Source organism: Homo sapiens, chromosome 2, assembly GCF_000001405.40.
Source record: "Homo sapiens chromosome 2, GRCh38.p14 Primary Assembly".
In the NCBI taxonomy this organism is placed as follows: Eukaryota; Metazoa; Chordata; class Mammalia; order Primates; family Hominidae; genus Homo; species Homo sapiens.
Window position 1 is genome coordinate 37,940,250 of NC_000002.12, and position 23,615 is coordinate 37,963,864.

General features: G+C 39.1%; 1 protein-coding gene and 1 long non-coding RNA gene across 19 annotated transcripts in view, besides 1 other annotated feature; one reads left to right on the forward strand and one right to left on the reverse strand.

The window, feature by feature from the left end:
• The window catches only part of RMDN2 (regulator of microtubule dynamics 2), a 146,238-nt gene that overhangs the window by 19,349 nt on the left and 103,274 nt on the right, over window positions 1-23,615 (forward strand). For 4 of the 18 annotated variants that reach the window (XR_939668.4, XM_011532615.4, XM_011532614.4 and 1 more), the window contains exons 1-3: window positions 10,030-10,123; window positions 10,262-10,346; window positions 10,984-11,952. The exons of 10 other annotated variants lie outside the window; for them this stretch is intronic. Coding sequence is in view for 7 of the 8 variants with exons in the window: in XM_011532615.4 (XP_011530917.2) it covers window positions 10,330-10,346; window positions 10,984-11,952 (986 nt within the window). In the remaining variant the exon portion in view is untranslated. Of the gene's footprint in view, window positions 1-10,029; window positions 10,124-10,214; window positions 10,347-10,983; window positions 11,953-23,615 lie in introns of those variants that run through there. 4 more of the 18 variants (XM_047443521.1, NM_001170793.3, XM_047443520.1 and 1 more) reach the window with 3 other exon arrangements.
• Window positions 1,299-1,800: an enhancer, noted in NCBI's record as "H3K27ac hESC enhancer chr2:38168691-38169192 (GRCh37/hg19 assembly coordinates)". NCBI's record gives its function as "activates a minimal SCP1, AML or CMV promoter by ChIP-STARR-seq in primed H9 embryonic stem cells {active_cell/tissue: H9 hESC(primed)}" and the evidence as "EXISTENCE:reporter gene assay evidence [ECO:0000049][PMID:30033119]".
• Window positions 10,085-23,615, reverse strand: part of RMDN2-AS1 (RMDN2 antisense RNA 1) — an 86,008-nt gene continuing 72,477 nt past the window's right edge. Inside the window, exons 3-4 of the long non-coding RNA NR_102712.1 lie at window positions 22,843-22,906; window positions 10,085-10,288 (exon numbers count right to left, since the gene is read on the reverse strand). This is a non-coding gene — a long non-coding RNA (RMDN2 antisense RNA 1). The remainder of the gene's footprint in view (window positions 10,289-22,842; window positions 22,907-23,615) is intronic.

Sequence of the window (23,615 nt, forward strand, 5' to 3'; positions counted from 1 at the left end):
TCCTGTTAGTCTGCTGGGCTTCCCTTTGTGGGTAACTCGACCTTTCTCTCTGGCTGTCCTTAATATTTTTTCCTTCACTTCCACCATGGTGAATCTGACAATTATGTGTTTTGGGGTTTCCCTTCTCGAGGAGTAGCTTTGTGGTGTTCTCTGTATTTCCCGAATTTGAATGTTGGCCTGTCTTGCTATGTTGGGGAAGTTCTCCTGGATAGTATCCTGAAGTGTGTTTTCCACCTTGGTTCGATTCTCGCTGTCACTTTCAGGTGCACCAAACAAACACAGGTTTGGTCTTTTCAGATAGTCCCATGTTTCCTGGAGTCTTTGTTCATTCCTTTTCATTCTTTTTTTCTCTAATCTTGTCTTCACGCTTTATTTCGTTAAGTTGATCTTCAATCTCTCATATCCTTTCTTCCACTTGATCAATTTGGCTATTGATACTTGTGTATGCTTCACAAAGTTCTTGTGCTGTGTTTTTCAGCTCCATCAGGTCATGGTCATTTATGTTCTTCTCTAAACTTGTTATTCTCATTAGCAATTTCTCTAACCTTTTATCAAGGTTCTTAGTTTCCTTGCATTGGGTTAAAGCTTGCTCCTTTAGCTCGAAGGAGTTTGTTATTACCCACCTTCTGAAGCCTACTTCTGTCAATTCATCAAACTCATTCTCTGTCCAGTTTTGTTCCCTTGCTGGTGAGGAGTTGCGATCCTTTGGATGAGAAGAGTCATTCTGGTTTTTGGAATTTTCAGCCTATTGGCACTGGTTTTTCCTCATCTTCGTGTATTTATTTACCTTTGGTCTTTGTTGTTGGTGACGTTCTGATGGAGTTTTTGCGTGGTCTTCCTTTTTCTTGATGTTGATGCTGTTGCTTTCTCTTTGTTAGTTTTCCTTCTAACAGTCAGGCCCCTCTTCTGCAGGTCTGCTGGAGTTTGCTGGGAGTCCACTGTAGACCCTGTTTGCCTGGGTATCACCAGTGAAGGCTGCAGAACAGCAAAGATTGCTGGCTGCTCCTTCCTCTGGAAGCTTCATCCCAGAGGGCACCCGCCAGATGTCGACTGGAGCTCTCCTGTGCGAGATGTCTGTTGACCCCTGCTGGGAGGTGTCTCCCTGTCAGGAGGCACAGGGGTCAGGGACCCACTTGAGGAGGCAGTCTGTCCCTTAGCAGAGTTTGAGCACTGTGGTGGGAGATCTGCTGCTCTCTTCAGAGCTGGCAGGCAGGAATATTTAAGTCTGCTGAAGCTGCGCCCACAGCCGCGCCTTCCCCCAGTTGCTCTGTCCCAGGGAAACTGGAGTTTTATGTGTAAGCACCAGACTGAGACTACCGCCTGTCTTTCAGGGATGCCCTGCCCAGAGAGGAGGAATCTAGAGAGGCAGTCTGGCTATAGCTGCTTTGCAGTGCTGCGGTGGGCTCCACTCAGTCTGAACTTCCTGGTGGCTTTGTTTACACCGTGTGGGGAAAACTGCCTACTCACGCCTCAGTAATGGTGGATGCCCCTTCCCCACCATGCTGGAGCATCCCAGGTTGACTTCAGACTGCTGTGCTGTCAGCGAGAATTTCCAGCCAGTGGATCTTAGTTTGCTGGGCTCTGTAGGGGTGGGATCCGCTGAGCTAGGCCACTTTGCTCCCTGGCTTCAGCCCCCTTTCCAGGGGAGTGAGTGGTTCTGTCTCGCTGGTGTTCCAGGTGCCACTGGGGTACCAAAAAAAAAAAAAAAAATTCCTGCAGCTAGCTCGGTATCTGCCCAAACAGCTGCCCACTTTTGTGCTTGAAACCCTGGGCCCTTGTGGTGTAGGCACCCGAGGAAATCTCCTGGTCTGTGGGTTGTGAAGACCGTGGGAAAAGTGTAGTATCTGGGCCAGATATCTCTGTCCCTCATGGCAAGTCCCTCACAGCTCCTCTTGGCTAGGGGAGGGAGTTCTCCGACCCCTTGCACTTCCTGGGTGAGGCGAAATCCCACCCGGCTTCACCTCACCCTCCATAGGCTGCACCCACTGTCTAACCTGTCCCAATGAGATGCACCAGGTACCTCAGTTGGAAATGCAGAAATCACCCTTCTGCGTTGGTCTTGCTGGATGCTGCAGACTGGAGCTGTTTCTATTCGACCATCTTGCCTGGGAATCCTCATGTTTTGTTCTTATAAACAATGCTTTATTGAACACTTTCCTTCATAATTCCTTAGGCATATGTGGAAGAATTTCTTGAAAGTATACATTTGAAGTCCTGAGTTATAGATTAACTATATTATTATTATATGTTACTAAATTATTCCTTAAAGTGTACCAAGTTACCATCCTATGAGCAGTATATGAGAATTCTTATCTTCCCATACAAATTTTTATATTGTCAGACTTTTTCATTTTAGCCAACCTGATGAAGATGAAATCGTAACTAATTATTTTTCAATTTGTATTTCCCTGAAAACCAGTACGATCAAACTTTTCATCATTCATTTGCCATTTAGTCCTCTCCTATGAATTTCCTTTAAAAAAAGAAAAGTCACATTAACATTTGAGGTCCCCTTATTCATTCAGTGTGAGTGTCTACTCTGTGGCAGGCACTGTCTGAACTCTGGAGATCTAGCAGGGAACAAAGCAAAGTCTCACAAGTAAAACAGATTTTTTAAAAGAAAATCTAGCAAGATGGTAAAGAGTGATGCTTTTGGCCTTTTAGGATTCTATTAACTAGAACCCTAACGGCCAAGAAAAAAGCAATAAGTGCCAAGCACCTTTCCATCCTGCAGCCAGATGCTAGACCTTCCTGGGCAGGACTTGCTAAGAGATTGAAGCCACTGCCAGCATGAGCAGCCATCCACATGCCACCCATGAAAGGAACTGCTAAAGGCTGAGAGAAGCATTTCTCCCTGGAAAGCCGTTCGCGTTCTGGGCATCCCACTAGTATGTTTATGAAGCTGGATGCTGTGGGAATGGATGCCATTGCTCAAGCACAATGTGTAGCATGGGAAGAGAGAAGAGAGTGGAGTACAGAACTTTCTGGAACCAGTACTGAAGAAGTGGACAAAGGTGGATAAGCCTGAAAAAGAAGACAGATGACTGGTCAAAGCAATGAGCAGGGAACCAGAGGACCAAGGTGTCACAGAAACCAAGAGAGGACAAGATTTCCAGAATAGTGGTAAAAAGCCACAGGTTTTAGAATCTTTCTGATCCAAGCAGGAATCCCGGTTCAGCCTTTAACTAACCATGTAACTTCACTTCTCCAAACCTCAATTTATTTATCTTAAAATGTGGTTAATAATGCATGTCTCATGTTGTTTTAGATGCTAATGAAAGATGAGATAATAAAGTTGCTTTGCGTTATGTCTAAAATAAATTCTTTTAAAAAATGAATTGTTTTATAAAGTAGAAGGAAATGATCAGATGTATTAAATGTACTAGAACAGGAATTGGCAAACTTTTTCTGTAAGAATTTTAGGTTGTATATTTCATGAATCCTTCATTGCGCTCCATTCTATTATATATGCATTTTTCATGTTAAACTGCAGTTAAACTCCTCCCCTATCCTTCTAAATTAACTTTGCGAAGTTGGAGTGTAGTCTTTTCCCCCTTAGGCTATGTGTTAATTGAGGCTTTTTTTTCACCCTGACTTTATAATTTTTAGTACACAATATTTCTACTCCCCATATCTTTGCTCTGCACGGTCACCTTGCCCCTCCCCCACCACCTAAGAAAAAACGATGGTCATATGGTCATGCCAACAGGTGAAGTGTATAAGGTGTCTGCATATTTTGTGTAACTTCAGAGTTAGATTGAAATTACCAGGCACAGATTTAGGCTTGTCATTTTGTTTACACATAGGGGAAAACAATTCCATTTATTAAACGTTTTGTGTAACTGCACCACCCAAGTTTTGCCAAGCCGAAAACTTGGACCTTTTCTATTTAGTGACTTTTTAGTTTTAGTTTTCATAACCTGGAGATGAGGCCGTTGTTTTTGCATGATGTATGTAGTGTCTCATAACTGGAGTTTGCTTTAGTTTTACAGTATCTGTACTCCTTGGATTTTTCAAGAGTTATTTTATAAACAGGTGATGTATTTCTCATTGAAAACACCATTTAAAAAAACAGCCAATCTCAAAAAAAAAAAAAAAAGAATTTTAGGCTCTGAGGACCATACAGTCTCCGTCTCAAAACTCTGCCATTGTAGTGTGAAAGCAGCCATAGGCAGTATGAGTATGGCTGCATTCCAATAAAACTTTATTTACAAAAACAGGTGGCTGGTAGATTAGGCCCACAGGGTGTAGTTTGCCAACCTCTGAACTAGAAAAATACATTTAATAGTAGCCTTTCACTTCTAATGTGTTTGGTCAAGTAAAATAGGGACTGAACTGTGTTTACCGGATTTGAGACTTAGGAGGTCACTTATTGAGAAGCTTTGCAGGAGAAGTTGCTGGGTAGTGATAAGTACAGAAACCTGATCTAGGCCTGTACAAATGAAAGAGAGGTAAATATGTGGACACCAGAAGAGTAGACACTTATTTCAAGGAACTTGACTTTAGATGGAAGGAGGTTGTGTAATTAAGAAGGGGTATCAGGTCCAGAGAACATATATTTTATGTTTCACTTTTTGTTTTTGTTTTCACCTGAGAGATACTTGAGCGTATTTATGGGCCACAAGGAAGAAGCCAATACAGAGGGCAAGAGTAAAGATGCAGGAAAAGGGCCTTTTTAAAAAATATCAAGAACAAAACAAAGGAAATAACCTATGAAACAAGGTGTCACCTGACCTTTTTAGTAGCAGTACACCTTAGGTATTGGGATAACGTCGAAGAAAGAATAGTATCACTTGCAGACTCTTGGGAAACTTTATTAAGCTCAAGATAGTATCTGGTGACATGGAAACTGACAATATAAAGTAGCATTGCTGCCCCTAATAAAGGAGTAAGTACTAGCTTGAAAAGGTTAAGCTCTTCTCTACATTTTGTTATTTTCCTAATCAGTGTCCCTGTTACCATTAAATCTGTAAATATAATAACCAATAGATTCTTAAGAAAGACAGGAAGAACACATTTGCAGATTCATTCATTTCTAAAACAAATGTTTTCTGAGCAGCCACTATGAACTATACTCTTGTAGATGAGTACAGTGGTAACAAAGCCCTTGCACTCTTAGAGCTTACATGCTATTGGTCATGGATTCCAATTTGGACACATTTGTCTTCGGAAGTCTCATCTTCCTGTGCCTTCTTCAAAACTTGAAGTGTCCAACATCCATTCACTCTACCAGCACATCTACAAATGAATCTGGGTACCCCGATACCTTGGCACCAAGAGTAATACTTAGATTTCTACAAGTCTCTAATGCCTAGTACAAATAGATACAATATATACAAAATCAAAATTACAGATAAGGGAAAGAAAAAGACCCCAGTTCTGTGACTACACAGGTATTACAGAAGAAAATGGAAGTCATCTCCATCAATAATTTTTTCCAGATCCTGTCCTAAATGTTTTATATTTATTATCTCATTTAATATACACATTAACTCTGAGGTTTTAGACACAAGGCAGTGGAGTCTGGGAAAGATTAGGCAACTTACTGGTCAGGGACAGAGTCTATACACTTTACCACTCTGCTGCACTGCCTCTCGCCTTACTCATCCCCACTTAAGAAAGTACACGGTGTCAGAATGCTCTACAACAGTATCCTAGGGGAAGTAAGGTGAAGGTGCATATGAAATACCTGCTGAATTCAGACTTGACCTCTCAAGGTGAATACTCATGTATAAAACTCACCTCAATTCCATTTGAATACCTTTTTAAGCCTAACGTAACTAAGAAGGCACAGGTGGGTTCAACATACTATATTTCGTTAATTCTAAGATGAACATTTTTAACATTTTAAGTCTCAAAAATCAAATCGTATCTTACCATCAATTAATAGCGTTATAGAACTGAATCATAATTTTATTGGCAACAATTTTTTCTTTCTTACAATTGATGGTGTTTCTGACTCTATGAAATAGAAAGTAGATACCTTTGTGGGTGTAGGGGTTGGAGGTGTAGGGGGTTGGAAGTTGAAAGAGTTCCTGCCTTATAACTTTAGTTTTTTTCAGGGAGGGTGGACTGTAGGCCATCTTTTAGGGTGGAGGTGAATGGACACTGACACATTTGAGGAAGAAGGGTAAGATGCTTTATTTTTCTCTTCCCTATGCTACCCCTCTCCTCTCCTCTATCAATTTACGTGTCTTAGGACTTTGACCTCCTTAAGAATCTGCACTAATGTGTTTACTGTGGTGTTCCCAGTGCTTTGCACACTTTATCGTTTAGCACATGATACATTATCATGAAGTATTTGCATTAATGATGAATGAACATGTGAAGGAAGAAAGTTTGGAAGAGCAGGTGTGGAGAGTAGAAGAGGGAATTAACTAGAAACATGAATAAGGATTACTCAGGAGGTGGTTGCCCCATTTGAGATTCAAGACTATATACTACCAGTCTTCACTGTTGGATGATTCTTTTTTTCAATAGTTATTGCCATTTCATATATGAGAGTAAGAACCCTGGTGATTGAATTGATCCAGATTTGGGGATTTTTAGGGTGAGCTTCATAGAGAGGCAAAAGGCTGAGGATGTGGAGAGTATAGAGAAGAAAGCAAATTATCTAGTGTTGCTAGAATGCATATGTACTTGTTGACCTAGAATATATACTTATAGTTTTCATTGTTTCAAAACTACATCCAGCTTGTTTTTGCATCATTTCAAACCCTGGACTGTGTCCTGTTCTATATTCTTGACTAGAATGCCTTTAGTAACTGCTGTCTAGTGAATTTATTTTATTTTTTGAAATTATTTTTTTAATTTTGATTTTTGTAGATTTAGAGGGTAAAAATGCAGTTCTGTTACATGGTTACTTTGCAAAGTATGAGCTTTTAATGTAACTATCACCCAAATAGTGTACATTGTACCTGTTAGGTAGTTTCTCATCCCTCACCTCCTCCCACCCTCCTGAGAAGTCTCCACTGTCTATTATTGCATGCTCAATGTCCATGTGTACACATTATTTAGTTCCTACTTATGAATGAGAATATGTAGTATTTGACTTTCTGTTTCTGAGTTATTCAGTGAATTAATTTTAATAAACTTCTTTCTCTCAAAATAATATATGGATGAGAAAATTCTGAAAGTAGAATTTCTATAAAATAGAAATTTAATATGTATAAAATAACCAACATTTGTGCTAAATTCATTAAAAAAGCCATACTTTTTCTGCCTCGCAAGTCACATGCAGACAGCTGTGTCATCTGAGTAACAAACTACAAACAGGGAACTTATGTGGAGAGTTTAATGTTGTAATGAAAGGAAATACAACAGTTATCCTGGTGCTAATTTAAAAATGAATGTTGCTGTTACTGTCCACAATCAGGCACATTTGATAAACTATAAAAACAACTAAATTAATGTAATGAATTGAATAGTTTGTATTATTATTGAAGAATGATACTACACTCAGATCAGCTAAAGATGTGCATTTTTCAATAGCTGAATTCAGAGTACTTCACGATATTTGTTTTGAATAATGTAGAAAAACTTAAATTTGTCAATTCAAGTTAACTCAGTCAATTTTTAGTTTGGGGCATGTTCTTTGTGTTAAGGATTCAGTCCCAGTCAGGGTTCTCCCCTTGTGCCCCCTACTTCTCCCCGTGTGTAATGTAGATTCTCTGAAGAGACTTGTCATCTAGGTACCAGGAGGGGGACATTCAGTCCTAGTATTGTTCACTGTCTTTTCTAGACTCCAGCTTAGATAGGCAGCTGCTGTGAGGTACCTCAGAAGACGCTTCTGCCTTGACTCTGGGGGTCGTCATGACCCGTATGTTCTGGAACACAGCTACTCAAATTGTGGTCTGTGGACCAGCAACATCAGCATCCAGTCTTGCCTGTGAGAGTGTGGGAAATGCATGTTCTTAGGACATACCCCGGACCTAGCGAATCAGAATGTCTGGGAGCAGTGCTCAGGAATCTGCATTTTAAGAAGCTCTGTGGGTGACTCTTATACACCCTAACATTTGAGAAGCTTTGTTCTAGAAGATTTTCTAACATCCACATGAGCAATCATGATGAAATTTTTGTTGTAATGAGTGGTAATTATGGTTACAGATAAACAAAAGGTTCATTGGGCACAGTGAGTATAATGATGGAATACTGACCTAGGTGAGAATAGAGTGGCTGTTGCAGAAAAGGAGGAGGGTTGGGTGGCCATAGGGCATGATAAAAGCAGAAGGTACCTGGGGTCATGGAATTGATAATAAAGAGAATTGGGAATGAATTGAAGGACGAACATGTTTTAGATGCTTGTCATTATAAGGGGTTACTATTTGCTTTTGGGCTAAGTCTAATTTTGGTTCTCTTAAAAAGCCAAAAGGAGGCAATTTGCAGACATTTAGAGGGTTAGGTAAGTTCTTCACCTAGAACGATATTAATCAGCTTCTAGATATTTCCTGTACTGGTATGAGATTTCTTTTCTGATGTCTGAGCAGATCTGGATCTTCTTCCTCATCCCCCAAATGCGCACACACCTAAACACCGTTTTTTGTGTCTGCATAATCATAGATTTGCTTGAATAAGGTCGGGGGAGTGATCTGACCTCTTTATTACCTCGACTGAGCAGCAGTGATTGACAGTGTTGAGATTTAGTTACAAATAATTATTTCCTTTGGGGTAGCTCAGTGAGCAGATGCTTCTTTTAGAGGCCATTGGTGGGAGTGTTAAACAACAAGCTGGCCCAATTTTTCAAAGAAAAATTTTTTATAGAAACTTTATAAGCATTACGTATTATGTTCTTGCAATGTGCAAAAGAGATCCTTTTGGAAAATGACAATCAGACCTTAGTGCGGCTTAGGAACAAAAGACAGTAGTCTCACAAGAGAGGGAAAATGTAATAGATTGCTACAGAGACAGACAGTCCTCCTTGGGCTTCTTGTGCTCCCAGACATCTTGCTACATGAGCCATACATGTAAGGCCCTGATCATTCTTTATGTGGGCCATTTTTCAGGGTTCTGGTGAGCAACCTTGAAGAATGAGTTACTGTTTCCCTTCAGGACCAAGAGCAGGTTTAGCAGATTTGCTTACTACTTGCTATAGAAGTGGTAGATCATCTAAGCTCAGCGTTCTTTCCTGTAACACAATCCACTGTGAAGGCAAGTGTCCTTGGGCCCTCTGCATTGCCCCTGTGGCAATGTGGGACAAAGGAGAACTGATGTAAATGTCCTGGTGATTATGCTGCTTTGCTATGCTGTAAGTAACATAAGTCTTCTGTCTCTAACCCACGAATCTCATGTCTTCTGCCAGCATCCATGATACAGTAAGAGATTACTTTATTAGTTTGTATGTAAACTAAAATCAAATTACAAATCCGACCATTGTATGGTGAACGTTAGAGAGCTTTGGGTCTCTTAAAAGGAATTTGTTCAAGGGTTTCCTGCAGTAGGGTGTTAGGAAGGGAGCAAAGGCTAGAGGCGGTAGTAGTATTTAGGATCAGGAAATTGCACAGTAAATAAAAGTATTTGAGGGGGTGTTTCATGTCATAGGTAAGTATACACATACACGTATACCTGTTATGGGGACAATAGCCCAAATTGGTTTAGATAAGAAAGGACAGTGTTTCTTTTCTAATAACTCTATTAACCTTGCATTTAGGTGAGTATCAGTTGTTCTGAGGAGTGATAAATAGTGCCACAGCATATCCCCGTAATCTGTGCAAATGGCCCAAGCAGTCAGATGGCATACTTTACTGCCAAGGTGAACGATGCTTGTTTCCTTTGTGGTGGCAATGACATTTGCTACTTATTAAACTTTTTTTCCCTTCTCAATGTATCTTTAGGCCAAAGTCTCTAACATTTGCTTTTCCGTATCACTGAAGGATGCAAAAATCTGGGGTAAAGAATGTTCAAGTGAAAGAAGAAGGAGTTAGTAGTACAGGGGTGTGGAAGGCAGCTGGTGAGAGAGATGGTCCAAGGTGAGAGAGATGGTCCAAGGTAAAGGATTGTACAGCTGTCATATATGTTATTGTCCTTATCCAGCTGTTTTCCCACCCCTGGATTTGTTGGATGACTCCTCCAACAGTGAAGGTAGAAACACATTCCACAGCCATGTGAATTCCAACTTCGGAGAAAGGTGAGCTACAGAACAGTTCTAATATAAACTGATGTCATGAGATTCTAGAGTCTGCTGTCATCACATTCTGTGTTATTGCCATGTTAACTCCACATGCAGCTTGAGCATTCAGTCTTCTGACCTGTTCCACCTCTACAGGGCATTTTATGGCTTAAGGATGACGGCCTAGAAGGGAAGGGAGAGACTTACTTTGGATTAAATTTACAATGGGAAAGTGCTTAAGGTAAGCCTTAGAAAAAAACTTCAACATGTGCTAAAAGAACATTGAAAATATTCATAAACGAAGCTTTAGTGCTCTCCTTTGTTTCCCATAATAACTGGATATCCTGGACTGTCCAGATATTCACTTGAAACATTCTCCCCAGAGAGATTGTGCTTCATCCATGGTTAATATTTTAAAATACAATTAGTCAACAGAATATAAGTTTATTCTCCTTAACTCATTTAAATACAGTAGTTAGTAATCTCCAACAGATATTGTGGTTTATTACCTTTAAAACCAGTTCTATCTTTTCCTTTGGGAATCTTTTTGTTCTGGTATCCTTGCATATGTTTCCCCTGATCTTTCTTTCTACCTGCTTCCCTGATTTTTTCAACTTCTCTTCCCAAGGTTTAATAGAGTGGGTAGGTACTGTGTAGGTAGAGATAACCTCTTAGACTCCCGCATTCTTTTGGGTACATCTGTGTGACCATTAACTTAAGCTCCCCTATTCTTCTTATTCCCTGCTGTTTTCATATTAGTATGGAAACAATACCAATTGGTGGACACCAAAAGGTGGATATTATTCTTCAGGAGGCTTGGCAGGTCTCCACTCTGCTCCCTATTTTTTTTCCTCATTTGACCCTTTTCTCACTCTTAGCTGCTGCAAAGAGGACCAGAGCTTCCAACGATGTTCTCCAGAAGATCAAGTTAGTACAGACGCCCAGCATCGTGGAGCCTCTTCTATTTCACAACCAAGTATATCTCTTGGTCATAAAACATCTTATTCCCCTGTAACACATAAAGTCAATGCAGCCAAAGCAAGTAGAAGGTTATTATCTGTATCAAGTCCATCTTTCTCTGAAAGAAGATATTCTTTATTTGTTGGATTTCAAAAAAGAAATGCTTCCCCTTACTGGCAACAAAGTAGAGCTAACTTTGATTCTGAAGAAGACACAGGCTTCACTGATATAAAATCTTCCTCAGACCATTGTGGTAGCTTTATTTCCCGCAGAAGACGTTTCTCATCCCGTAAACTAAGTATAGTTTCCTATTACAAGAGTGCCATTTTTTTTGATCCTCAAGCAAGTGGCCAGAATGTGTTTAATCTAAATGAAATCGAAATCTTTTCTAAAACTTCAAGTAATACTGATGCTAAAAAACATATAACCATCTCTGCTCCTGAATATAACACTAAAAATTTTAAGAATTTTGAAACAAACACTACTTCTCCAGCCTTTGGGAACACTATTGATACAGCCTCCTATCAACAAAGCACATCATCCTTCTTTTCTCTTGCAAGTGATATTTCCTCTCCCGATCAACAAAATGGAATTGCCAATGATATTCAACAAAGGGGCCAATTATGTAAAGATTTAAAAGATTTCCTTCATCCTCGTCCTGAAAGTTACAGCACAGATCATTCTCCAATCATGATTCCACAGCATCCCTCTCAAAGTGGAACTTTCCCATTCCTCCATAAAGCTGGATTTTCTTCATCTTATAAAAATTCTGGTTGCTTTATCCCACCTCAAAGCGAATTAACTTCAGGCCTGTTTGAAGATGAAGACTTTGCTGTCTTGTTTCAAGATGAAGACAGATCTTCACCTATTGAAATTCCTAAAATAAGGTCACCTCAGACTTTACCCTCTCTTAGAAGGGCACCTCAAATAGTTTTCCCACCAGTCACTTTCATAGCCTGTAGAATTCATTTCTCATAACTCCCCTTTCCTCACAAAGCTTCACTGCATTTTCTGAAGAAGATTCCTACATTGCAGTGTAAATTTAATTGCTGTAGTTTTGAAAGTTAGTTTACTGATGTTATTGGAGTATGGAAGTCAAAGATGATTTTGTTTCAAGCTTTTTTCAGATTTACTGCTTAAAGATGGGCTAATCTCAGATTTCTGAGTGACTATTATAATACTTTTGTGGTCTGAAAATAACATCAAGCCTTGATGTATGGACTTTCTAAAAGTAATACATTCTTTGAGAGTTTAGTATCCCCTTTTATCATACTCTAATCATTAGAAATAGTATTCTTACATAATCATTAGAGCTATTTTCATCAATTCACACATTTTCATATATATCAGCCTTGCTAGCTATATTTCTCATGCCTGATGTTCCACTGACAGATAATGTTTTTATTAACACAAGAATCAAATTAGAAGTTAAAAATATTATAGCGGAATATGTAGAATATTTAGAAACCAGATATTTTAACTAAGTAATTTTAATACACATTCATGTATGTGCAAATCTGGGCATTCAAGGAATTCTGAAATCAGGAAAAAGTATGTATATTAGTCTCCCAAAATTTTATTTTTAAAAATGAATATTTTTCATTTTTTTCCGATTGTATTAACAAAGACTGTTATAAAGTATTTATCAAAGTAGCTAATGAATAAAAATGCATGTAAGCAATTGAAAACATTTAAGTTAGAATACAATTAGATTTTGTAGAGGAAAGGAATTTGCATTATTTCTAATTATCCTAATAAAATGTCCCCCAAATTTATTTCATGGGGCTAAGATGTTATTTTTACTTTTGTGGTTTTTTCTTGTTCTTAGCATGTGTCTTTAAAAAATGGCCTTTTGATTTTAATTTTTAAAAATTGTGATAAATATAAAATTTACTATCTTAACCATTTTAAAATGTGTGTTTCAGCAACATTAAGTACATTCACATTGTTGTACAGCCATCACCACCATCCGTTTCCACAACTCTTTTCATCTTGCAAAACTGAAACTCTCCACCCATTAAATAAGAACTCTCTACTCTCTCTCCCTAGCCCTTGTCAACCATCACTCTACTTTATGTCTATGATTTTGGCTACTCCAAGTACCTCATATAAGTGGAATCGTATGGTATTTTGTGACCAGCTTATTTCACTTAGCATAGTGTATAATGTCCTCAAGCTTCATCCATGTTACAGCATATGTCAGAATGTCCTTCCTTTTTAAGGCTGAATAATATTCCACTGTATGTATATATCACATTTTGCATATCCTTTATCCACCAGTGGACAATTTGGGTCACTTCCATGTTTAACTATTGTGAATAATGCACTGTCTATGAACACGTGCATGCAACTGTCTGTTCGAAACCTTCCTTTCAGTTCTTTTGAGTATATATCCAGAAGTGGAATTATTGGATCATGTGGTAATTATATTTTAATTTTTTGAGGAACTACCATATTGTTTTCCATAGTGGCTGCACCATTTTACATTTGCACCAGGAGTGTAGAAGGATTCCAGTTTCTCCACTACCTTGCCAACACTTATTATTTTGTTTTGTTTTTTGTTATAGTAGCCATCCTAATGGGTATGAGGTGGTATCTCATTGTGGTTTTTATTTGAATATCCCTAATGATTAGTGACATTGAACATCTTTTCGTGTGACTGCTGCCCATTTGTATATCTTCTTTGGAGAAATGCCAATTCAAGTCCCTTGATCCTTTTTTTTAAATCAGGTTGTTTGTTTTTTTGTTGATTTGTAGGAGTTCTTTATATATTTTGGATATTAACCCTTTAAAAAAGATATAATTTGCAAATATTTTCTCCCAATGTGTGGGTTGCCTTTTTACTCTGTTGATTATGTCCTTTGATCCATAGAAGTTTTCGGTTTTGAGGTAGTCTAGTTTATCAATTTTTTCTTTTATTGCCTATGCTTTTAGTGCCACATCCAATAAATCATTGCCAAATCCACTGTTGTGAAGCTTTTGCATTATGTTTTCTTTTAAGAGTTTTATAGCTTTAGGTTTTATATTTAGGTCTTTGATGCATTTTGAGTTAATTTTTGTGTGTGATGTTAAGTAATGGTCTTACTTCATTCTTTTATATGTGGATATCCAGTTTTCTCAACACCATTTGTTGAAGAGATTACCCTTTCTCCATTGAATGGTCTTGGAACCTTTGTCAAAAGTCATGTGATCATATATGTGTGGTTGACTTCTGGGCTTTCCATTTTCTTTCACCAGCCTATACATCTGTCTTTACACCACACTGTACCATACTGTTTTGGTTACTGTAGCTTTGTAGTAGGTTTGAAAATCAGGAGGTGTGAGACCTCCAACTTTGTTTTTATTTTTCAAGATTATTTTGGCCATTTCGGGTGTCTTGGAATTCCAAATGAATTTCAGGATAGATTTTTCTATTTGTACAAAAAATATCATTGGGATTTTCAGAGGGATTGCATTGCATCTGTAGATTATTTTGGGTAGGATTGACATCTTAACATTATAAACTTTCAAATCCACAAACATGGCATGTCTTTCTATTTGTATCTTATTTAAATTCTTTCAACAATGTTTTGTAGTTTTCAGTGTAGGTTTTTCATCTCCTTAGTTAAGTTTATTTCTAAGTATTTTACACTTTTGATGCAATTATAAGTGAAATTATTTTTTTATAATTCTTTCCAGATAGCTCATTGTTAATGCATAGAAATACACCTGATTTTTATATGTTGATTTTCTATCCTGCAATTTTGCTGAATTTTATTCTTATTTTGTGTATGTGTGTGAAATATTTAGGGTTTTTTTCCTACCTAAAGATTGTGTTGTCTGTGATCAGAGGATACTTTTGCTTCTTCCTTTCTAATTTGGATGCCTTTATTTCGTCATCTTGCCTAGTTGCACTGGCTAGGACTTTTAGTACTATGTCGAACAGAAGTGATAAAGAGCACCCTTGTCTTGTTCCTAATCTTAATAAGAGAGCTTTCAGCCTTTCACCATTGAATATGATGTTAGCTGTGGACTTTTCATATATGGCCTTTAATATGTCGAAGCAGTTAATTTTTATTCCTAGTTTGTTGAGTGTTTTTATCATAAAAAGGTGATAAATTTTGTCAAATGCTTTTTCTGCATCAATGGAGATGATCATGGGTTGTTTTTCCCTTCATTTTGTTTATGTGGTATTGATATGGTTTGGCTGTGTCCCCACCCAAATCTCAACTTGAATTGTATCTCCCAGAATTCCCACATGTTGTGGGAGGGACCCAGGGGGAGGTAATTGAATCATGGGGGCCGATCTTTCCTGTGCAATTCTTGTGATAATGAGTAAGTCTCAAGAGATCTGATGGAGTTTTCAAGAGTTTCCACTTTTGCTTCTTCCTCATTTTCTCTTGACGCCACCATATAAGAAGTGTCTTTCACCTCCTGCCATGATTCTGAGGCCTCCCCAGCTATGTGGAACTGTAAGTCCAATTAAACCTCTTTTTTCTTCCCAGTCTCGGGTATGTCTTTGTCAGCAGCATAAAAACAGACTAATACAGGTATATTACATTGGCTGATTTTTACATTGAACTTCCTTGCATTCCTGGAATAAATTCCATCTGGTTGTGATGTATAATCCTTCTAATGGGTTGTTGAATTCTGTTTGCTGTTATTTCATTCAGAATTTTTTTGTCAGTATTCATCAGGGATCAGGTCTTTAGTTTTCTTTACTGGTAGTGTCTTTGTCTAGCTTTGATATCAGGGTAATGCTGACCTCACAGAATGAGCTTGGGAGTGTTTCTTCCTCTTCAGTGTTTTGGAAGAGTTTGAGGAAGACTGCTGTTAATTGTTCTCCAGATGTTCTTCAAGTTATGTGACATCACTGTCAAACGCCACCAAATATTTGGGCTTTCACTTTTTGGGAGGTTTTTAATTACTTTTTACTAGTTATAGATCTATTCAGATTTTCTATTTATTCCTGATTCAGACTTAGTAGTTTGTGTGTTTCCAGGAATTTTTTCATTTCATCTAGGTTAATCAATTCGCTGGCATACAATTCTTCATATTACTCTTATAATCCTTTTTATTTCTATAAAATCAGTAATGTCCCCTCTTTCATTTCTGATTGTATTTATTTAGTCTCCTTTTTTTGTAGTCCAGCTAAAGGTTTATCAATTTTGTTGATCATTCTGAAGGACAAACTTGGTTTCATTGATTTCCTCTATTGTTTTTCTATTCTCTAATATGTTTATTTCTGATTTAATCTCTCTTATTCCTCTCTTCTGCTAGCTTTGGGGTTAGTTCTTTGTCTAGTTTCTTAATATTTCGATTTAGGTTGTTGATTCGGGACATTACCTTCTTTTTTTTTCTTCTTTTTTATTTTTTATTATACTTTTAAGTTCTGGGATACATGTGCAGAAGTGCAGGTTTGTTACATAGGTAGACTTGTGCCATGGTGGTTTGCTGCACCCATCAACCCGTCATCTATGTTAGGTATTTGTCCTAACGCTACCCCTCCCCTTGCTCCCCACCCCCAACAGCCCACAGTGTGTGATGTTCCCCTCCCTATGTCCATGTGTTCTCATTGTTCAACTCCCACTTATGAGTGAGAACATGCAGTGTTTGGTTTTCTGTTCCTGTGCTAGTTTGCTGAGAATGGTGGTTTCCAGCTTCATCCATGTCCCTGCAAAGGACATGAACTCATTCTTTTTTATGGTTGCATAGTATTCCATGGTGTCTATGTGCCACATTTTCTTTATTCAGTCTATCACTCATGGGCATTTGAGTTGGCTTCAAGTCTTTGCTGTTGTGAATAGTGCTGTAATAAACATACAGGTGTATGTTATTTTTATAGTAGAATGATTTATAATCCTTTGGGTATATATCCCGTTAATGGGATTGCTGGGTCAAATGTATTTCTAGTTCTAGATCCTTGAGGAATTGCCACACTGTCTTCCACAATGGTTGAACTAATTTACACTCCCACCAACAGTGTGAAAGCTTTCCTATTTCTCCACATCCTCTCCAGCATCTGTTGTTTCTGACTTTTTAATTATTGCCATTCTAACTGGCGTGAGATGGTATCTCATTGTGGTTTTGATTTGCATTTCTCTAATGACCAGTGATGATGAGCTTTTTTTCGTATGTTTGTTGGCTGCTTTTAAGAAGTGTCTGTTGATATCCTTCACCCACTTTTTGATAGGGTTGTTTGGTTTTTTCTTGTAAATTTATTTAAGTTCCTTGTAGATTCTTGATATTAGCCCTTTGTCAGATGGATAGATTGCAGAAATTTTCTGCCATTCTGTAGGTTGCCTGTTCACTCTGATGATAGTTTCTTTTACTGTGCAGAAGCTCTGTAGTTTAATTAGATCCAATTTGTCTATTTTTACTTTTGTTGCAATTGCTTTTGGTGTTTTAGTCATGAAGTTTTTGCCCATGCCTATGTCCTGAATGGTATTGCCTAGGTTTTCTTCTAGGGTTTTTATGGCTTTAGGTTTAATCATTTAAGTCTTTGATCCTTCTTGAGTTGATTTTTGTATAAGGTATAAGGAAGGGGTCCAGTTTCAGTTTTCTGCATATGGCTAGCCAGTTTTCCCAATACCATTTATTAAATAGGGAATCCTTTCCCCTTGCTTGTTTTTGTCAGGTTTGTCAAAGATCAGGTGGTTGTAGATGTGTGGTGTTATTTTTGAGGCCTCTGTTCTATTCCATTGGTCTATATATCTGTTTTGGTACCAGTACCATGCTGTTTTGGTTACTGTAGCCTTGTAGTGTAGTTTGAAGTCAGGTAGTGTGATGCCTCCAGCTTTGTTCTTTTTGTTTAGGATTGTCTTGACTATATGGGCTCTTTTTTGGTTTCATATGAAGTTTAAAGTAGTTTTTTCTAATTCTGTGAAGAAAGTCAATGGTAGCTTGATGGGAATAGCATTAAATCTATAAATTATTTGGGGCAGTATGGCCATTTTCACAATACTGATTCTTTGTATCCATGAGTGTGGAGTGTTTTTCCATTTGTTTGTATACTCTCTTATTTCCTTGAGAAGTGGTTTGTAGTTCTTCTTGAAGAAGTCCTTCACATCCCCTCTAAGTTGTATTCCTAGGTATTTTATTCTATTTGTAGCAATTGTGAATGGGAGTTCACTCATGATTTAGCTCTCTATTATTGGTTTATAGTAATGCTTGTGATTTTTGCACATTTATTTTTTATCCTGAGATTTTGCTGAAGTTGCTTATCAGCTTAAGGAGTTTTGGGGCTGAGATGATAGGGTTTTCTAAATATACAATTATGATATCCGCAAACAGAGACAATTTGACTTCCTCTCTTTGTATTTGAGTATGCTTTATTTATTTATCTTGCCTGGTTGCCCTGGCCAGAACTTCCAATACTGTGTTGAATGGGAGTGGTGAGAGAGGGCATCCTTGTCTTGTGCTGGGTTTCAAAGGGAATGCTTCCAGCTTTTGCCCATTCAGTATGATATTGGCTGTGGGTTTGTCACAAATAGCTCTTATTATTTTCAGAGATGTTCCCTCAATACCTAGTTTATTGAGTGTTTTTAGCATGAAGCCGTGTTGAATTTTATTGAAGGCCTTTTCTGCATCTATTGTGATAATCAATAGATCATCTCATTGGTCTCACTTGTCATTGATTCTGTTTATGTGATGGATTACGTTTATTGACTTGCATGTGTTGAACCAGCCTCGCATCCTTAGGATGAAGCTGACTTGATTGTGGTGGATAGCTATTTGATGTGCTGCTGGATTTGGTTTGCCAGTATTTTATTGAGGATTTTTGCATCGATCTTCATCAGGGATATTGGCCTGAAATTTTCTTTTTATGTTGTTTCTCTGCCAGGTTTTGGTATCAGGATGATGCTGGCCTCATAAAATGAGTTAGGGAGAAGTCCCTCTTTTTCTGTTGTTTGGAATAGCTTCAGAAGGAATGGTACCAGCTCCTCTTTGTACCTCTGGTAGAATTCAGCTGTGAATCCATCTGGACCTGGGCTTTTTATGGTTGGTAGGCTATTAATTACTGCCTCAATTTCAGAACTTGTTATTGGTCTATTCAGGGATTTGACTTCTTCCTGGTTTAGTCTTGGGAGGGTGTGTGTGTCCAGGAATTTATCCATTTCTTGTAGATTTTCTAGTTTATTTGCATAGAGGTGTTTATAGTACTCTCTGATGGTAGTTTGTATTTCTCTGGGATCAGTGGTAATATCCCTTTTATCATTTTTTATTGTGTCTATTTGATTCTTCTCTCTTTTCTTCTTTATTAATCTGGCTAGCGATCTATTTTGTTGATCTTTTCAAAAAACCAGCTCCTGGATTCATTGATATTTTTGAAGGGTTTTTCGTGTCTCTATCCCCTTCAGTTCTGCTCAGATCTTAGTTATTTCTCATCTTCTGCTAGGTTGTGAATTTGTTTGCTCTTGCTGCTCTAGTTCTTTTAATTGTGATGTTAGGGTGTCAATTTTAGATCTTTTCTGCTTTCTCCTGTAGGCATTTAGTGCTATAAATTTCCCTCTAATCACTGCGTTAGCTGTGCCCCAGAGATTCTGGTATGTTGTATCTTAGTTCTCATTGGTTTCAAGGAACTTATTTCTGCCTTAATTTTGTTATTCACCCAGTAGTGATTCAGGAGCATGTTTTTCCATTTCCATGTAGTTGTGCAGTTTTGAGTGAGTTTCTTAATCTTGAGTTCTAATTTGATTACACTGTGGTCTGAGAGACTGTTATGATTTCTGTTCTTTTACATTTGCTAAGGAGTGTTTTACTTCCAATTATGTGGTCAGTTTTTGAATATGTGCTATGTGGTGCTGAGAAGAATGTATATTCTGTTGATTTGGGGTGGAGAGTTCTGTAGATGTCTATTAGGTCCTCTTGATCCAGAGCTGAATTCAAGTCCTGAATATCCTTGTTAATTTTCTGTCTCGTTGATCTGTCTAACATTGACAATGGGGTTTTAAAGTCTCCCACTATTAATGTGTGGGAGTGTAAGTCTCTTTGTAGGTCTCTAAGACCTTGCTTTATGAATCTGGGTGCTCCTGTATTGGGTGTATATATATATATTTAGAATAGTTAGCTCTTCTTGTTGCACTAATCCCCTTACCATTATGTAATTACCTTGATTTTTTTATTTTGTTGTTTTAAAGTCTGTTTTATCAGAGACTAGGATTGCAACCCCTGCTTTTTTTTTGCTTTCCATTTGCTTGATAAATATTCCTCCATCCCATTATTTTGAGCCTATGTGTGTCTTTGCACATGATATGGGTCTCCTGAATACAGCACACCAATGGGTCTTGACTCTTTATCCAATTTGCCAGTCTGTGTCTTTTAATTGGGGAATTTAGTCAATTTACATTTAAGGTTAATATGTGTCTTTTAGTTGGGGCACTTAGCCCACTTACATTTAAGGTTAATATTGTTATATGTGAATTTGATCCTGTCATCATGATTCCAGCTGGTTATTTTGCACATTAGTTGATGCAGTTTTTTCATAGTGACATTGGTCTGTGTATTTTGGTATGTTTTTGCAGTGGCTGGTACTGGTTTTTCCTTTCCATATTTAATGCTTCCTTCAGGAACTCTTGTAAGGCAGGCCTGGTGGTTACCAAATCCCTCAGCACTTGCTTGTCTGTAAAGGATTTTATTTCTCCTTCGCTTATGAAGCTTAGTTTGGCTCAATATGAAATTCAGGGTTGAAAATTCTTTTTTTATGAATTTTGAATATTGGCCCCCACTCTTTTCTGGCTTGTAGGGTTTCTGCAGAGAGATCTCCTGTTAGTCTGATGGGCTTCCCTTTGTTGGTAACCTGACCTTTCTCTCTGGCTGCCCTTAACATTTTTTGTTTGTTTCAAGCTTGGTGAATCTGATGATTATGTGTCTTGGGGTTGCTCTTCTCGAGGAGTATCTTTGTGGTGTTCTCTGTATTTTCCGAATTTGAGTGTTGGCCTGTCTTGCTATGTTGGGGAAGTTCTTCTGGATAATATCCTGAAGAGTGTTTTCCAACTTGGTTCCATTCTCCCTATCACTTTCAGGTACACCAATCAAACGTAGGTTTGGTCTTTTCACATAGTCCCATATTTCTTGGAAGCTTTGTTTGTTCCTTTGCATTCTTTTTTCTCTAATCTTGTCTTTACAATTTATTTCATTAAGTTAATCTGCAATCTCTGTTATCCTTTCTTCTGCTTGATTGATATGGTTATTGATACTTGTGTATGCTTCATTAAGTTCTTGTGCTGTGTTTTTCAACTCCATCAGGTCATTTATGTTCTTCCCTAAACTGGTTGTTCTAGTTAGCAATTCCTGTAATCTTTTATCAAAGTTCTTAGCTTCCTTGCATTGGGTTAGGACATGCTCCTTTAGCTCGGAGAAGTTTGTTATTACCCACCTTCTGAAGCCTACTTCTGTCAACTTGTCAAAGTCATTCTCCATCCAGCTTTGTTCCCTTGCTGGCAAGGAGTTGTGATCCTTTGGAGGAGAAGAGGCATTCTGGATTTTGGAATTTTCAGCATTTTTGCACTGGTTTTTCCTCATCTTCGTAGATTTATCTACCTTTGATCTTTGATGGTGAGGACCTTAGGATGGGTTTTGCGTGGGCGTCCTTTTTGTTGATTTTGATGTTTTTGCTTTCTGTTTGTTAGTTTTCCTTCTAACAGTCAGCTCCCTCTTCTGCAAGTCTGCTGGAGTTTGCTGGGAGTCCACTCCAAACACTGTTTGCCTGGGTATCACCAGCAGAGGCTGCAGAACAGCAAAGATTGCTGCCTCCTCCTTTCTCTGGAAGCTTTGTCCCAGAGGGCCACCCACCAGATGCTGACTGGAGCTCTCCTATATGAGGTGTCTGTCAACCTCTGCTGGGAGATGTCTCCTCGTCCGGAGGCACAAGGGTCAGGGACTCACTTGAGGAGGCAATCTGTCCCTTAGCATAGCTCAAGTGCTGTGGTGGGAGATTTGCTGCTCTCTTCAGAGCCAGCAGGCAGAAACGTTTAAGTCTGCTGAAGCTGTGCCCACAGCCACCCCTTCCCCCAGGTGTTCTGTCCCAGGGTGATGGGAGTTTTATCTGTAAGCCCCTGACTGGTGCTGCTGCCTTTCTTTCAGAGATTTCCTGCCCAGAGAGGAGGAATCTAGAGAGGCAGTCTGGCTACATTGGCTTTGCTGCACTGCAGTGGGCTCCACCCAGTCCGAACTTCTGGTGGCTTTGTTTACACTGTGTGGGGAAAACCGCCTGCTCAAGCCTCAGTAATGGTGGACGCCCCTCCCCCACCAAGCTCAAATGTCCCAGGTAGACTTCAGACTGCTGTGCTGGCAGCGAGAATTTCCAGCCAGTGGATCTTAGCTTGCTGGGCTCCATGGGGGTGGGATCCCCTGAGCAACAACACCTGACTCCCTGGCTTTTGCCTCCTTTCCCAGGGAGTGAACAGTTCTGTCTTTCTGGGGTTCACACCCCAGATGTGACTGGGGTACGAAAAAAAAAAAACTTCTGCAGCTACCTCAGTGTCTGCTCAAACGGCTGCCCAGTTTTGTGCTTGAAACCCAGGGCCCTTTTGGTGTAGGCACCCGAGGGAATCTCGCGGTCTGCGGGTTGCAAAAAACATAGGAAAAGCGTAGCATCTGGGCTAGATAGCACAGTCTCTCATGGCACAGTCCCTCATGGCTTCCCTTGGCTAGGGGAGTGAGTTCCCCAACCCCTTGCACTTCCTGGGTGAGGCAATACCCCACCCTCTTTGGCTCGCCCTATGTGGGCTGCACCCACTGTCTAACCAGTCCCAATGAGATGAACTGGGTACCTCAAATGGAAATGCAGAAATTACCTGCCTTCTGTGTTGGTCTCGCTGGGAGCTGCAGACCGGAGCTGTTCCTAGTCAGCCATCTTGCCTGGAACCACAGAAGCATCTTTTTTCAAATCTAGGGCTCTGTGAAACATTTTGAAAACAGTCGATCTGTGGTTAATAGTTGGCAGTTAAGCCTGAGCTTCTCCAGGTGCTTCTGTTACTATACCCTTGAATTTATTAATTTGGCTTCATACACGTGAGTTTCTTTTTTTTTTTTTTTTTTAATTGATCATTCTTGGGTGTTTCTCGGAGAGGGGGATTTGGCAGGGTCATAGGACAATAGTGGAGGGAAGGTCAGCAGATAAACAAGTGAACAAAGGTCTCTGGGTTTCCTAGGCAGAGGACCCTGCAGCCTTCCGCAGTGTTTGTGTCCCTGGGTACTTGAGATTAGGGAGTGGTGATGACTCTTAATGAGCATGCTGCCTTCAAGCATCTGTTTAACAAAGCACATCTTGCACTGCCCTTAATCCATTTAACCCTGAGTGGACACAGCACATGTTTCAGAGAGCACAGGGTTGGGGGCAAGGTCATAGATCAACAGCATCCCAAGGCAGAAGAATCTTTCTTAGTACAGAACAAAATGGAGTCTCCTATGTCTACTTCTTTCTACACAGACACAGCAACAATCTGATTTCTCTATCTTTTCCCCACATTTCCCCCCTTTCTATTCCACAAAACCGCCATCGTCATCATGGCCCGTTCTCAATGAGCTGTTGGGTACACCTACCAGACGGGGTGGCGGCCGGGCAGAG